General features: G+C 37.7%; 1 annotated feature.

Moving 5' to 3' along the window:
• Positions 6,853-7,354: an enhancer, noted in NCBI's record as "NANOG hESC enhancer chr1:160567464-160567965 (GRCh37/hg19 assembly coordinates)". NCBI's record gives its function as "activates a minimal SCP1, AML or CMV promoter by ChIP-STARR-seq in primed H9 embryonic stem cells {active_cell/tissue: H9 hESC(primed)}" and the evidence as "EXISTENCE:reporter gene assay evidence [ECO:0000049][PMID:30033119]".

Raw genomic sequence — 13,978 nt, 5'->3', positions numbered from 1 at the left:
ACAATAAGAACTTCTGGAAATAAAAGACATGCTTAGAGAAATGCAAAATACACTGAAAAGTTTTAACAATAGAATGGAACAAGTAGAAGAAAGAACCTCAGAGCTCAAAGACAATGCTATTGAATTAATCCAATCTAACACAGACAAAGAAAAAAGTTTTTTTTAATGAACAAAGCCTCCAGCCAATTTGGGATTATGTTAAATGACCAAACCTAAGAATAATTTGTGTTCCTGAGGAACTCAAAGAACACCCAGGAAATTCATTGCAAAAAGATAATTACCTAAACACACAGGTTTAGGTAATCTAAACCATCAGGTTATCTAAAGTCAAGATGAAGGAATGAATCTTAAGAGCTGTGAGGCAAAAGCATCAGGTATCCTATAAAGGAAAACCTATAAGATTAACAGCAGATTCCTCAGCAGAAATCCTACAAGCTAGAAGGGATTGGGGTCCTATCTTTCATATCCTTAAACTAAGTAATTATCCTTACTTTAGCCTCCTTAAAAGAATAATTATCAGCCAAGAATTTTGTATCTGGCAAAACTAAGCTTCATATATGAAGGGAAGATAAAGTCTTTTTCAGACAAGCAAATGCTGAATGTATCACTACCAAGAGAATTTGCCACTACAAAGTCAGCACTATAAGAACTGCTAAAAGGAATTCTAAATCTTGAAACAAAACCTCAAAATACACCAAAATAGAACCTTCTTAAAACATAAATCTCACAGGACCTATGAAACAATAACACAATGAAAAAAAAAACCAAGCAATTCAGGCAACAACTAGCACAATGAATAGAATAGTACCTCATATCTCAATACTGACATTAAAAGTAAATGGCCTAAATGCTCCACTTACAAGATCCAGAGTGTCAGAATGAATAAGAATTCACCAACCAAGTATCTGCTGTCTTTAAGAGACTTGCCTAACACATAAGGACTAACATAAACTTAAGGTAAAGGGGTGGAAAAATATATTGCATTCAAATGGACACAAAACTGAGCAGGAGTAACTATTCTTATATCAGACCAAACAGACTTTAAAGCAAGAATAGTTTTAAAAGACAAAGAGGGACAATCCATAACAATAAAAGGACTAGTCCAGCAGGAAAATATTACAATCCTAAATATATATGCATCTAACACTGGAGTTCCCAAATTTATAAGACAATCACTGCTAGATGTAAGAAATGAAATAGGAACACAATAATAGTGGGGGGCTTCAATACTGCACTGACAGAACTAGAAAGCATCAAGACAGAAAATAAAGAAACTATACCCTAGAATAAATGGACTTAACAAATACTTACAGCACATTCTACTCAACAACAACAAATATTTACAGCACATTCTACTCAACAGCTGTGAAATATATATTCTACTCATCAGAACATGGAACACAGGCCAAAAATCAAGTCTCGATAAATTTAAGAAAATCAAAGTTATATCAAGTACTCTGTCAGACCACAGTGGAATAAAATTGGAAATCAACTCCAAAAGGAACCCTCAAAACTATGCAAATATATGGAAATTAAATAATCTGCTCCTGAATGATCTTTACATCAGCAATGGAATCAAGATAGAAATTTAAAAGTTCTTTGAAATGAACGATAATAGTGACACAACCTATCAAAACTTCTGGGATACAGCAAAAGCAGTGCAAAGAGAAAAGTTCATAGGATTAAATGCCTACATCAAAAAATCTGAAGGAGTACAAATAGACAATCTAAGGTCACATCTCAAGGAACTAGAGAAGCCTGAACAAACCAAACCCAAACCCAGCAAAAGAAAAGAAACAACCAAGATGAGAGCAGAACTAAATGACATTCAAACAAACAAAAAACAATACCAAAGATAAATGAAACGAAAACCTGGTCCATTGACAAGAGAAAGAAAATGGATAGACCATTAGTGAGATTAACCATGAAAAGAAGAGAGAAGATCCAAATAAGCTCAGTTAGAAACAAAATGGGAGATATTACAACCAATACGACAGAAACACAAAAGACCATTCAAGGCCATTATGAACACCTTTATGTGCACAAACTAGAAAACTGAGAGGAGATAGATAAATTGCTGAAAACATACAGCCCTCCTAGATTAAACCAGGAAGAAATAGAAACTTTGGGCTGGGCGCAGTGGCTCACGTCTGTAATCCCAGGACTTTGGGAGGCCGAGGTGGGCAGATCACGAGGTCAGGAGATCGAAACCATCCTGGCTAACATGGTAAAACCCCATCTCTACTAAAAATACAAAAAATTAGCCAGGAACAGTGGCAGGTGCCTGTAGTCCCAGCTACTCGGAAGGCTGAGGCAGGAGAATGGCGTGAACCAGGGAGGCAGAGCTTGCAGTGAGCCGAGATAGTGACACTGCACTCTGGCCTGGGCGAAAGAGTGAGACTCCTCCTCAAAAAAAAAAAAGAAATAGAAACTTTGAACAGACCAATAACAAGCAGCAAGATAAAAATAATGATAATATAAAAATTGCCAGCAACAAGAAAGTTCAGGACCAGATGGATTCACAGCTGAATTCTATCAGGAATTCAAAGAATTGGTAACAATCTTATTGAAACTATTCCAAAAGACAGAGAAAGAAGGAATCCTTCCTAAATCATTCTATGAAGCCAGTATCACCCTAATACCAAAACCAGGAAAGGACATAACAAAAAAAGAAAACTACAGACTAATATCCCTGATGAACATAGTTGCAAAAATCCTCAACAAAATACTGGCTAACTGAATCCAACAGCATATCAGAAAGATAATCCACCATGATCAAGTGGGTTTCATATCAGGGATGCAGGGATGATTTAATATACGCAAGTCAATAAATGTGACACACCACATAAACAGAGTTAAAAACAAAAATCATATGCTCATCTCATTAGACACAGAGAAAGCATTTGACAAAATTCAGCATCCATTCATGATTAAAACTCTCAGCAAAATTGGCATAGATGGGACATAAGGTAATAAAAGGCATCTATGACAAACCCACAGCCAACATTATACTGAACAGGGAAAAGTTGAAAGCATTCCCCCACCCTGAAAACTGGAAGAAGGCAAGGATGCCCACTTTCACCACTTTTATTCAACATAGTACTAGAAGTCCTAGCCAAAGCAATCAGACAGGAGAAAGGAATAAAGGGCATCAAAATTGGTAAAAAGGAAGTCAAACTGTTGCTGTTCACCAGTGGTATAATTGTAGAAGGTATCAAACCCTACTCATCCAAAAAACTCCTAGATGTGATAAATGAATTCAGTAAAGTTTCAGGACACAAAATCAATATACACAAGTGAATAACACTGCTATACACCAATGGTGACCAAACTGAGAATCAAATCAAGAATTCTCCCCTTTTTACAATAGCTGCAAAAAAATTAAAATGCTTAGAAATTCACCTAACTAAGGAGGTGAAAGACCTCTATAAGGAAAACTACAAAACACTGCTGAAAGAAATCATAGATGACACAAACAAACGGAAATATATCCCATGCTTATGGATGGGTAGACTCAATATTGTGAAAATGACCATACTGCCAAAAGCAGTCTGCAAATTCAATGCAATTCCCATGAAAATACCATCATCATTCTTCATGGAACTAGAGAAAACAATCCTAAAATTAATATGGAACCCAAAAAGAGCCTACATAGCCAAAGCAAGACTAAGCAAAAAGAACAAACCTGGAGGCATCACATTACCTGACTTTAAACTATACTACAAGGCTATAGTAATCAAAACAGCATGGTACTGGTATAAAAATGGGCACATAGACCAATGAAGTAGAATAGAGAACCCAGAAAGAAAGAGAGAAAGAGACAGAGAGAGGGAGGGAGGGAGGGAAGGAAGAAAGGGAAAAATATAGGCCCATACACTTAAATAAATGGAATCAGAATTTTTGATAATCTAACCCCTACCTCAATGTAGACATCCTTTTCAAGTGGAAGCACTTTAGCTTGAGTGACATTCCACGCCTGGCCTCTCCCCTACTCATTTACTCCACTCTCAGGGAAATTCACCCCTGATATTTCACGTAGGTTCTTTTCTATTTTCCTTAAGTGCTGGCTGGTCCGAGAAATAAAGGGAAAGAGTACAAAAGAGAGAAATTTTAAAGCTGGGTGTCCGGGGGAGACATCACATGTCAGCAGGTTCCATGATGCCCCCAAACCACAAAACTAGCAAGTTTTTATTAGTGATTTTCAAAAGGGGAGGGAGTGTACTAATAGGATGTGGGTGACAGAGATCACACGCTTCACAAGGTAATAAAATATCACAAGGCAAATGGAGGCAGGACAAGATCACAGGACCAGGGTGAAATTAAAATTGCCAATGAAGTTTCAGGCACACATTGTCATTGATAACATCTTATCAGGAGGCAGGGTTTGAGAGCAGACAACCAGTCTGACCAAAATGTATTAGGTGGGAATTTCCTCATCCTAATAAGTCTGGGAGTGCTACAGGAGACTGGGGCTTATTTCATCCCTTATCTGCAACTGTAAAAGACAGACGTCCCCAGAGCGGCCATTTCAGAGGCTTACCCCTAGGAATGCGTTCTCTTTCTCAGGGCTGTTCCTTGCTGAGAAAAAGAATTCAGCGATATTTCTCCTATTTGCTTTTGAAAGAAGAGAAATATGGCTCTGTTCCGCCCAGCCCATAGGTAGCCAGACTAAGGTTATCTCTCTTGTTCCCTGAACATCCCTGTTATCCTGTTCTTTTTTCACGGTGCCCAGATTTCATATTGTTTAAACAATTTGTGCAGTTAACGCAATCATCACAGGGTCCTGAGGCGACATTCATCCTCAGCTTACAAAGATGATGGGATTAAGAGATTAAAGTAAAGACAGGCATAGGAAATCACAAGAGTATTGATTGGGGAAGTGATAAGTGTCCATGAAATCTTCACAATTTATGTTCAGAGATTGCAGTAAAGACAGGTGTAAGAAGTTATAAAAGTATTAATTTGGGGAACTAATAAATGTCCATGAAATCTTCACAATTTATGTTCTTCTGCCATGGCTTCAGCCGGTCCCTCTGTTTGGGGTCCCTGACTTCCCATAACACTTCACCTCAGGAAAGAGAAGTGCATAAACTATTTTGTGAGTTTGGGAAGATAACTGAGCAACCTCCACTCAATGCCTTCTCAGCTGTCTTTCTTGGAACCAGCCTTTTTGTAGGAGGCAGATATTCTTGTCTATTCCTACCTGCTCACAATGGCAGACTCTACTCTCTTGTTGGGAGGGTTTGCCCACTTATGGCCTCTTCCTTCTTCTCCTCCTACATTCCCACCTCCTCCTGATTATAATGATAGTGATAGTCAACATTTATCAAGTGCTTTCTAAGTGCCAAGTATGGTCCTGAGTGTGAATCATGCATTAACTTGCCTAAAGCCACATTTGCCAATCAGCTTTATCAATAACAGAGCTGACACTTTTTCTCCATCTGTATGAATCTTCTGTCTATCTTAAAATTGATTCCAAATCAGAAGTAGAGGAAGCATAATTAGTTGCTCCTTCCCTCTAAACCCAACACCTCCTCTGGCCAAACTCCCTTGCCAAACATCCTCCATGTCTTCCCTGAACTTCTCTCTCACAACAGTTTCTCATGTTCCATTGTTAGAGAGCTAACAAAGGTACATGTTCCATTGTTAGAGAGGTTTCTCATGTTTCATTGTTAGAGAGGTTCCACTGCTAGAGAGTCAAGTTTTTGTACATTAAAATACTTCTTCTTGGAACTTGCCTACTTTCTCCTAGTGGTTTTCTCTGAATAACCTAATTCCTCTTCTGCATAATAATTTTCCAAATATCTGAAAATAACTGTCATTTCTATGCAACTTGTGATCACTAAAGGAAACAAAAAAAAATTCACCCCCAAATACACTTTTTGACATATTTCAAGATGGCTGTTCAGATGACCTGAAGATGGCAATAGCCCTGCAAAGCTGCCTTTTGTGGAGGAGATTTGCCTCTGTAGAGAAAATCTGCATTGGTGAAATAAACAGCCAGGCTTTCTCTGCCCCATTCTGTCTAGATCTAGGAAGGATAGGCTCCTGGGAGAGAGACTGAAAGTCTGACACCTTATGGGGGCTGACAGAAACATTCTTTCTGAGAGCTATGTTGTCCAAAAGATCATCAGGATGGCTAAATAGTAGGAAGGAGAGCATTAGTAGTGATATTGGTTTGGAAACCCGGAAGAGACAGTCTCAAATATGTGCCTAAGCTGGTGTCTCTTCAAAGAGAAGAAGGATGGTTGGGTATTACATGACAAAGGGTCCATACAGTTTTTTTTTTTTCCTATCTCTTATAATATTCAATTCACTTTTCTTTCCTTTTTTTTCTTTCCTTTTTTTTTCTTTCCTTTCTTTATTTTTTTTTTTTTAAGACAGGGTTTCACTTTGTTGCCCAGGCTGGAGTGAAGTGGCATGATAATGGCTCACTGCAGCCTTGACCTCCCAGGCTCAAGCAATCTTCCCACCTCAGTCTCCCTGGTAGCTGGAACTACAGACACATGTAACAATGCCCAGCCAATTTCTGTATTTTTTGTAGAGACAGGGTTTTGCCATGTTTCCCAGGCTGGTCTTGAGCTCCTGGGCTGTAGCAATCTGCCTATCTTAGCCTCCCAAAGTGCTGGGATTACAGGAGTGAGCCACTGTGTCTGGCCTCATTTTTCAATAAATTCAAAATCTCTGTTGAAATTCTCTACAGAAAATTTTCACCTATTGTGTATATCTTTTCACCTATTGTGTATATCTTTTCCACTATTCTCTTCAAAACATTAATTATAGCTATTTAAACATCCTTGCATCCTAATCTAATATCTATAGGTCTGTTTCTAAAGTCTTTTTCCTCTTGTTAATCAATCATATTTTTGTCTGCCTGGTATTTCTTAAATTTAATGCTGTGCATTATATATAAAAGAACCAGAGATGCTTAAAGTTATACTTTCTTCCACCAGATAGTGTTTTCCCTTCTTTCTGTTAGGCAGATATAAGAGACTGATCACCTCATGGCAGTCAGGGATCCAGCTTCATTGGCCTGGATTTCAATTTATATAAGGTGGCCTCCTGGGCCTTTGATTAAGACACTGTCAGGCATCCATCTCCTCCAATCTGAAAGACAATAGGAGAGCTAGCCCTTCTTTTCAGAGTTTCTCGGCCCAGCTCCTCAGCCTCCCATACTATATAGCTTCAAAATTTGGCAAATCAACTAAGGGAGAAACCACCAGGGCAGGTCTCTTTCACGATATGCAGGACTGTGAAAGATTTCACTCTACTTTTAGAAGACATCTGTCTAGATCATCAGACTCTCATGCACTCCTAGAAACTAGTAAATATCCTGTGAGAAAATCAGCCATATGTTAGGGACCACCTCAGGTTTCTTAGTCCATTTGTGCTGCTATAACAGAAGACCTGAGACTGGGTAATTTATAAAGAATAGAAATTCATTTTCTCACAGTTCTGGAGCCTGGGAAATTAAAAATCAGGGTGCTGGGGTCTTTTGAGGGCCTACTTGCTGCATCCTCACATGGCAGAATACAGAAGGGCCATAAAGTTTTTTCACATGGCAGAAGAGCAGAAGAGAATGAACTTATTCCCACAAGCCCTTTTTGTAATGTCAGCTATCCATTCTTGAATGTAGAGCCCTCATGACCTAAACACTTCCCATTAGGCCCCACCTCCCTATACTGTTGCATTGGAGATTACGTTTCCAACATACAAATTTTGGGTGATGCATTCAGACTATAGCAGCTTCCAAATTTTCCCTCTACACTAACACAGTCAAGAAAATTTTTATTGTTCTTTCCTCCTCAGCCTACACTAAGCTCAATATTCAGCTCATGTCTAGAATCAGCAAATCTCCCCCCAACTCTCCCCTCAAGGTAAAAAATGGTTGATGATGTCAGGTCATCTGAAAAAGGTTCTGCCTCTCTGGAATTTTGGGTGATGATATCCCATTACTTCCTCTTTAAAGACTCTTTGATGCCTTTAAAAATAAGGACTTTGTAATTCCTCTGGCCTTCATTATTATTATTATTATACTTTAAGTTTTGGGACATATGTGCAGAACATGCAAATTTGTTACATAGGGATACACATGCCATGGTGGTTTGCTGCACCCATCAACCCGTCATCTACATTAGGTATTTTTCCTAATGCCATCCCTCCCCTAGCCCCCTACTCACTGACAGGCCCCGGTGTGTGATGTTCTCCTCCCTGTGTCCATGTGTTCTCATTGTTCAACTCCCACTTATCAGTGAGAACACGAGTTGTTTGGTTTTCTGTTCCTGTGTTAGTTTGCTGAGAATGATGGTTTCCAACTTAATCCATGTCCCTGCAAAGGACATAAACTCATCCTTTTTTATGTCTGCATAGTACTCCGTGGTACTATATGCCACATTTTCTTTATCCAGTCTGTCATTGATGGGCATTTGGGTTGGTTCCAAGTTTTTGCTATTGTGAACAGTGCTGCAATAAACATACTTGTGCCTGTGTCTTCGTAGTAGAATGATTTGTAATCCTTTGGGTATATGCCCAGTAATGGGATTGCTGGGTCAAATGGTATTTCTAGTTCTAGATGCTTGATGAATTGCCACACCATCTTCCACAATGGTTGAACTAATTTACACATCCACCAACAGTGTAAAAGCGTTCCTACTTCTCCACATCCTCTCCAGCATCTGTTGTTTCCTAACTTTTTAATGATCGCCATTCTAACTGGTGTGAGATGGTATCTCATTGTGGTTTAGACTTGCATTTCTCTAATGACCAATGATGATGAGCTTTTTTTCTTATGTTTCTTGGCCACATAAATGTCTTCTTTTGAATACCTAATAGACGTCTACAGAACTCTCCACCCCAAATCAACAGAATATACATTCTTCTGAGCACCACATTCCACTTATTCTAAAATTGACCACATAATTGGAAGTAAAACACTCCTCAGCAAATGCAAAACAACAGAAATGTCTCTTCATATCCTTCACCCACTTTTTGTTGGAGTTGTTTATTTTTTTCTGGTAAATTTGTTTAAGTTCTTTATAGATTCTGGATATTAGCCCTTTGTCAGATGGATAGATTGCAAAACTTTTCTCCCATTCTGTAGGTTGCCTGTTCACTCTGATGACAGTTTCTTTTGCTATGCAGAAGCTCTTTAGTTTAATTAGATCCCATTTGTCAATTTTGGCTTTTGTTGCCATTGCTTTGGTGTTTTAGTCATGAAGTCTTTGCTCATGCCTATGTCCTGAATGGTATTGCCTAGGTTTTCTTCTAGGGTTTTTATGTTCCTAGGTCTTATGTTTAAGTCTTTGATCCATCTTGAATTGATTTTTGTATAATGTGTAAGGAAGGGGTCCAGTTTCAGTTTTCTGCATATGGCTAGCCAGTTTTCCCAACATCATTTATTAAATAGGGAATCCTTTCCCCATTGCTTGTGTGTGTCAGGTTTGTCAAAGACCAGATGGTTGTAGATGTGTGGTGTTATTTCTGAGGTTTCTGCTGTGTTCCATTGGTCTATATATCTGTTTTGGTACCAGTACCACATTGTTCTGGTTACTGTAGCATTGTAGTATAGTTTGAAGTTAGGTAGTGTGATGCCTCCAGCTCTGTTCTTTTTGCTTAGGATTGTCTTGCCTATCCAGGCTCTTTTTTGGTTCCATAGGAAATTTAAAGTAGTTTTTTTAATTCTGTGAAGAAAGTCAATGGTAGCTTGATGGGGATAGCATTGAATCTATAAATTACTTCGGGGAGTAAGCCATTTTCACGATATTGATTCTTCCTATCCATGAGCATGCAATGTTTTTCCATTTGTTTGTGTCCTCTCTTATTTCCTTGAGCAGTGGTTTGTAGTTCTCTTTGAAGAGATCCTTCACATACCTTGTAAGTTGTATTCCTAGGTATTTTATTCTCTTTGTAGCAATTGTGAATGAGAGTTCAGTCATAATTTGGCTCTCTATTTGTCTATTATTGGTGTATAGGAATGCTTGTGATTTTTGCACATTGATTTTGTATCCTGAGACTTTGCTGAAGTTCATTATCAGCTTAAAGAGATTTTGGGCTGAGACGATGGGGTTTTCTAAATATACAATCATGTCATCTGCAAACAGAGACAATTTGACTTCCTCTCTTCCTATTTCAGTACCCTTTATTTCTTTCTCTTGCCTAATTGCTCCGGCCTGAACTTCCAATACTATGTTGACTAGGAGTGGAGAGAGCGGGCATCCTTGCCTTGTGCCAGTTTTCAAAGGGAATGCTTCCAGCTTTTGCCCATTCAGTATGATATTGGCTCTGGGTTTGTCATGAAGAGCTCTTATTATTTTGATATGTTCCATCAATACCTAGTTTCAATGAGACAGAAAATTAATAAGGATATTCAGGACTTGAACTTAGCCCTGGACCTAATAGATGTCTACAGAACCCTCCACCCCAAATCAACAGAATATACATTCTTCTGAGCACCACATTCCACTTATTCTAAAATTGACCACATAATTGGAAGTAAAACACTCCTCAGCAAATGCAAAAGAACTGAAATCATAACAGTTTTTCAGACAACAGTTCAATCAAATTAGAACTCAGGATTAAGAATCTCACTCAAAACCACACAACTACATGGAAACTGAACAACCTTCTCCTGAATGGCTACAGGGTAAATAACAAAATTAAGACAGAAATAAAGATGTTCTTTGAAACCAATGAGAACAAAGACACAACATAACAGAATCTCTGGGACACAACTAAAGCAGAGTTTAGAGGGAAATTCATAGCACTAAATGCCTACAGAAGAAAGCGGGAAAGATCTAAAATTGACACCCTAACAACACAATTAAAAGAACTAGAGAAGCAAGAGCAAACAAATTCAAAAGCTAGCAGATGACAGGAAATAACTAAGATCAGGGCAGAACTGAAGGAGATAGAGACACAAAAAACCCTTCAAAAAATCCGTGAGTCCAGGAGCTGATTTTTTGAAAAGATTAACAAAATAGATAGACCAATAGCCAGGCTAATAAAAAAGAAAAGAGAGAAGAGTCAAATAGACACAATAAAAAGTGATAAAGGGGATATCACCATGGGACCCACAGAAATATAAACTACCATCAGAGAATACTATAAACATCTCTACACAAATAAACTAGAAAATCTAGAAGAAATGGATAAATTCCTGGACACATGCACCCTCCCAAGACTAAACCTGGAAGAAGTCAAATCCCTGAGTAGGCCAATAACAAGTTCTGAAATTGAGGCAATAATTAATAGCCTACCAACCAAAAAAAGTCCAGGACCAGTTGGATTCACAGCTGAATTCTACCAGAGGTACAAAGAGGAGCTGGTACCATTCCTTCTGAAACTATTTCAAACAATAAGAAGAGAGGGACTCCTCCCCAGCTCATTTTATGCAGCCAGCATCATCCTGATACCAAAACCTGGCACAGACACAACAAAAAAAGAAAATTTCAGGCCAATATACCTGATGAACATCAATGTGAATATCCTCAATAAAATACTGGCAAATTGAATCCAGCAACACATCAAAAACTTATCCTCCACTATCAAGTCAGCTTCATCCCTGGGATGCAAGGTTCGTTCAACATATGGAAATCAATAAATGCAACCCATCACGTAAACAGAACTGATAACAAAAACCACATGATTATCTCAATAGATGAAGAAAAGGCCTTTGATAAATTTCAACACCCTTCAAGCTAAAAACTCTCAATTAACAAGGACACAATTTTATTTACAATATCATTTAAAAAATAGCTGGGAGTAAATTTAAATGAGGAAGTGAAGAATGTGTATACTGAAAACTATAAAACATTGATGAAAAAATTGAAGATGACACAAATAAAATTGAAAGCTATCCCATGTTCATGGATTGGAAGAATTAATATTGCTTAAATGTCCATACTACCCAAATCTACAGATTCAATGCTCTCCCTATCAAAATTCCAATGTCATTCTTCACAGAAATAGAAAAACAATCCTAAATTAATATGGAAACATAAAAGACCCTGAATAGCCAAAGAGATCTTAATCAACAACAACAAAACTGAAAGCATTACACTACAGGATTTCAAAATATATTTCAAAGTTATAGCAGTGAAAACAACTTGATAGTGGCATAAAGACAGACTCATCAACCAATGGAATAGGAGAGAGAGCCCAGAAATAAACTGGGCTCACACATCTATGGTCAACTGATTTTTGACAAATGTGCCAAAAATGCACAATGAGAAAAGGATAGTCTCTTCAAGAAATGGTGTTGGGAAACTGAATATCTACTTACGGAAGAATGAAAATGAACCCTATCTCACCCCTTATGTAAGAATCAACTCAAAATGGATTAAGACTTAAATGTAAAACCTGAAACTCTAAAACTAATAGAAGAAAACATAGAGAAAATGCTCCTTAATATTGGCCTGGGCAGTGATATCTTAGAAATGATACCAAAAGAATAGGCAACAAAAGCAAAAATGAATAAATGGGATTGCATCAAACTAAAAAGCTTCTGCACAGCAAAGGAAACAATTAACAGAGTGAAGAGACAAACCACAGATAGGGAGAATATATTGGTAACATACATTGGATAAGGGGTTAATAATCCAAAATATATATAAGGAACTCAAACTACTCAATAACAAGAAACAAATAAGCCTACTAAAAATGAGCAAATGACTTGAGTAGACATTTATTTAAAAAAGACATACAAATGGTCAACAGATACATGAAAAACCACATAACATCTCTCATCATAAGAGAAATGCAAGTTAAAAACAAAATGAGCAATCACCTCATACCTGTTAGATTGGCTATTACCAAAGAGATGAAAGATAAGTGTTGGCAAGGATGTAGAAAAAGGGAATACTTATACACTGTTGGTGGTATTGTAAATTTTTTCTCCAGCCATTTTAGAAGACAGTATAAAGGTTCCTCAAAAAAACTAAATAGAAAATTAACACATGATTCAGCAATCTCACTACTGGGCACATACTCAAAGGAACTGAAATCAGTATATCAAAGAGATGTCTGCATTCCCATATCCATTGCAGCACTGATCACAATATCCAAGATATGGAAACAACTTACGTGTCCATCAGTGCACAAACAGATTTTTAAAATGTGCTACATATACACAATAGAATACTATTCCACCCCCCAAAAAACAAACAAAACCAAAAGAACAGAAAATTCTGTCATGAACCTAGAGGACATTATGTTAAGTGATATAAGCCAGGTGCAGAGGGATAAATACCATATGATCTCGCTTGTATGTGGAATCTAAAAAAGGTGAACTCATAGAAGTAGAGAGTAGAATAGTGGTTATCAGAGTCTGGGGATTGTGGGGGTTGATGGGGAAAAGGAAGACGTTGGTCAATGGGAACAAAGTTTTAGTTAGCAGTAACAAATTCTGGTGCTCTATTGCACAGCACAGTGACTATAATAATAATATATTGTCCCTGGCTAACACGGTGAAACCCCGTCTCTACTAAAAATACAAAAAACTAGCCGGGCGTGGTGGCGGGAGCAGGTAGTTCCAGCTACTCAGGAGGCTGAGGCAGGAGAATGTCGTGAACCTGGAAGGCGGAGCTTGCAGTGAGTTGAGATTGTGTCACTGTACTCCAGCCTGGGCAACAGAGCAAGACTCCATCTCAAAAATAATAATAATAATAATAATAATAATATATTGTTTATCTCAAAATAGCTAAAACAGGATTTCAAATGTTCTCACCACAAAGAAATGATAAATATTTGAGGTGACGGATATGCTAATTAGCCTAAATTCATAACTCCATATTGTATATATGTATTAAAACACCACATTGTACTTTATAATATATATAATTATTATTTGTCAATTTAAAATAAAATAAAACTTTAAAAAAATAGATAAAAGAGACCCCAGAAAGCTAGCTCTTCTCCTCTACCATGTGAGGACACAGAGAGAAGGTGTCTTCTATGAGAACATAGGCTTGCACTAGGCACT

Source organism: Homo sapiens, chromosome 1, assembly GCF_000001405.40.
Source record: "Homo sapiens chromosome 1, GRCh38.p14 Primary Assembly".
In the NCBI taxonomy this organism is placed as follows: domain Eukaryota; kingdom Metazoa; phylum Chordata; class Mammalia; order Primates; family Hominidae; genus Homo; species Homo sapiens.
This window is presented reverse-complemented; position numbering and strand designations above follow the sequence as displayed.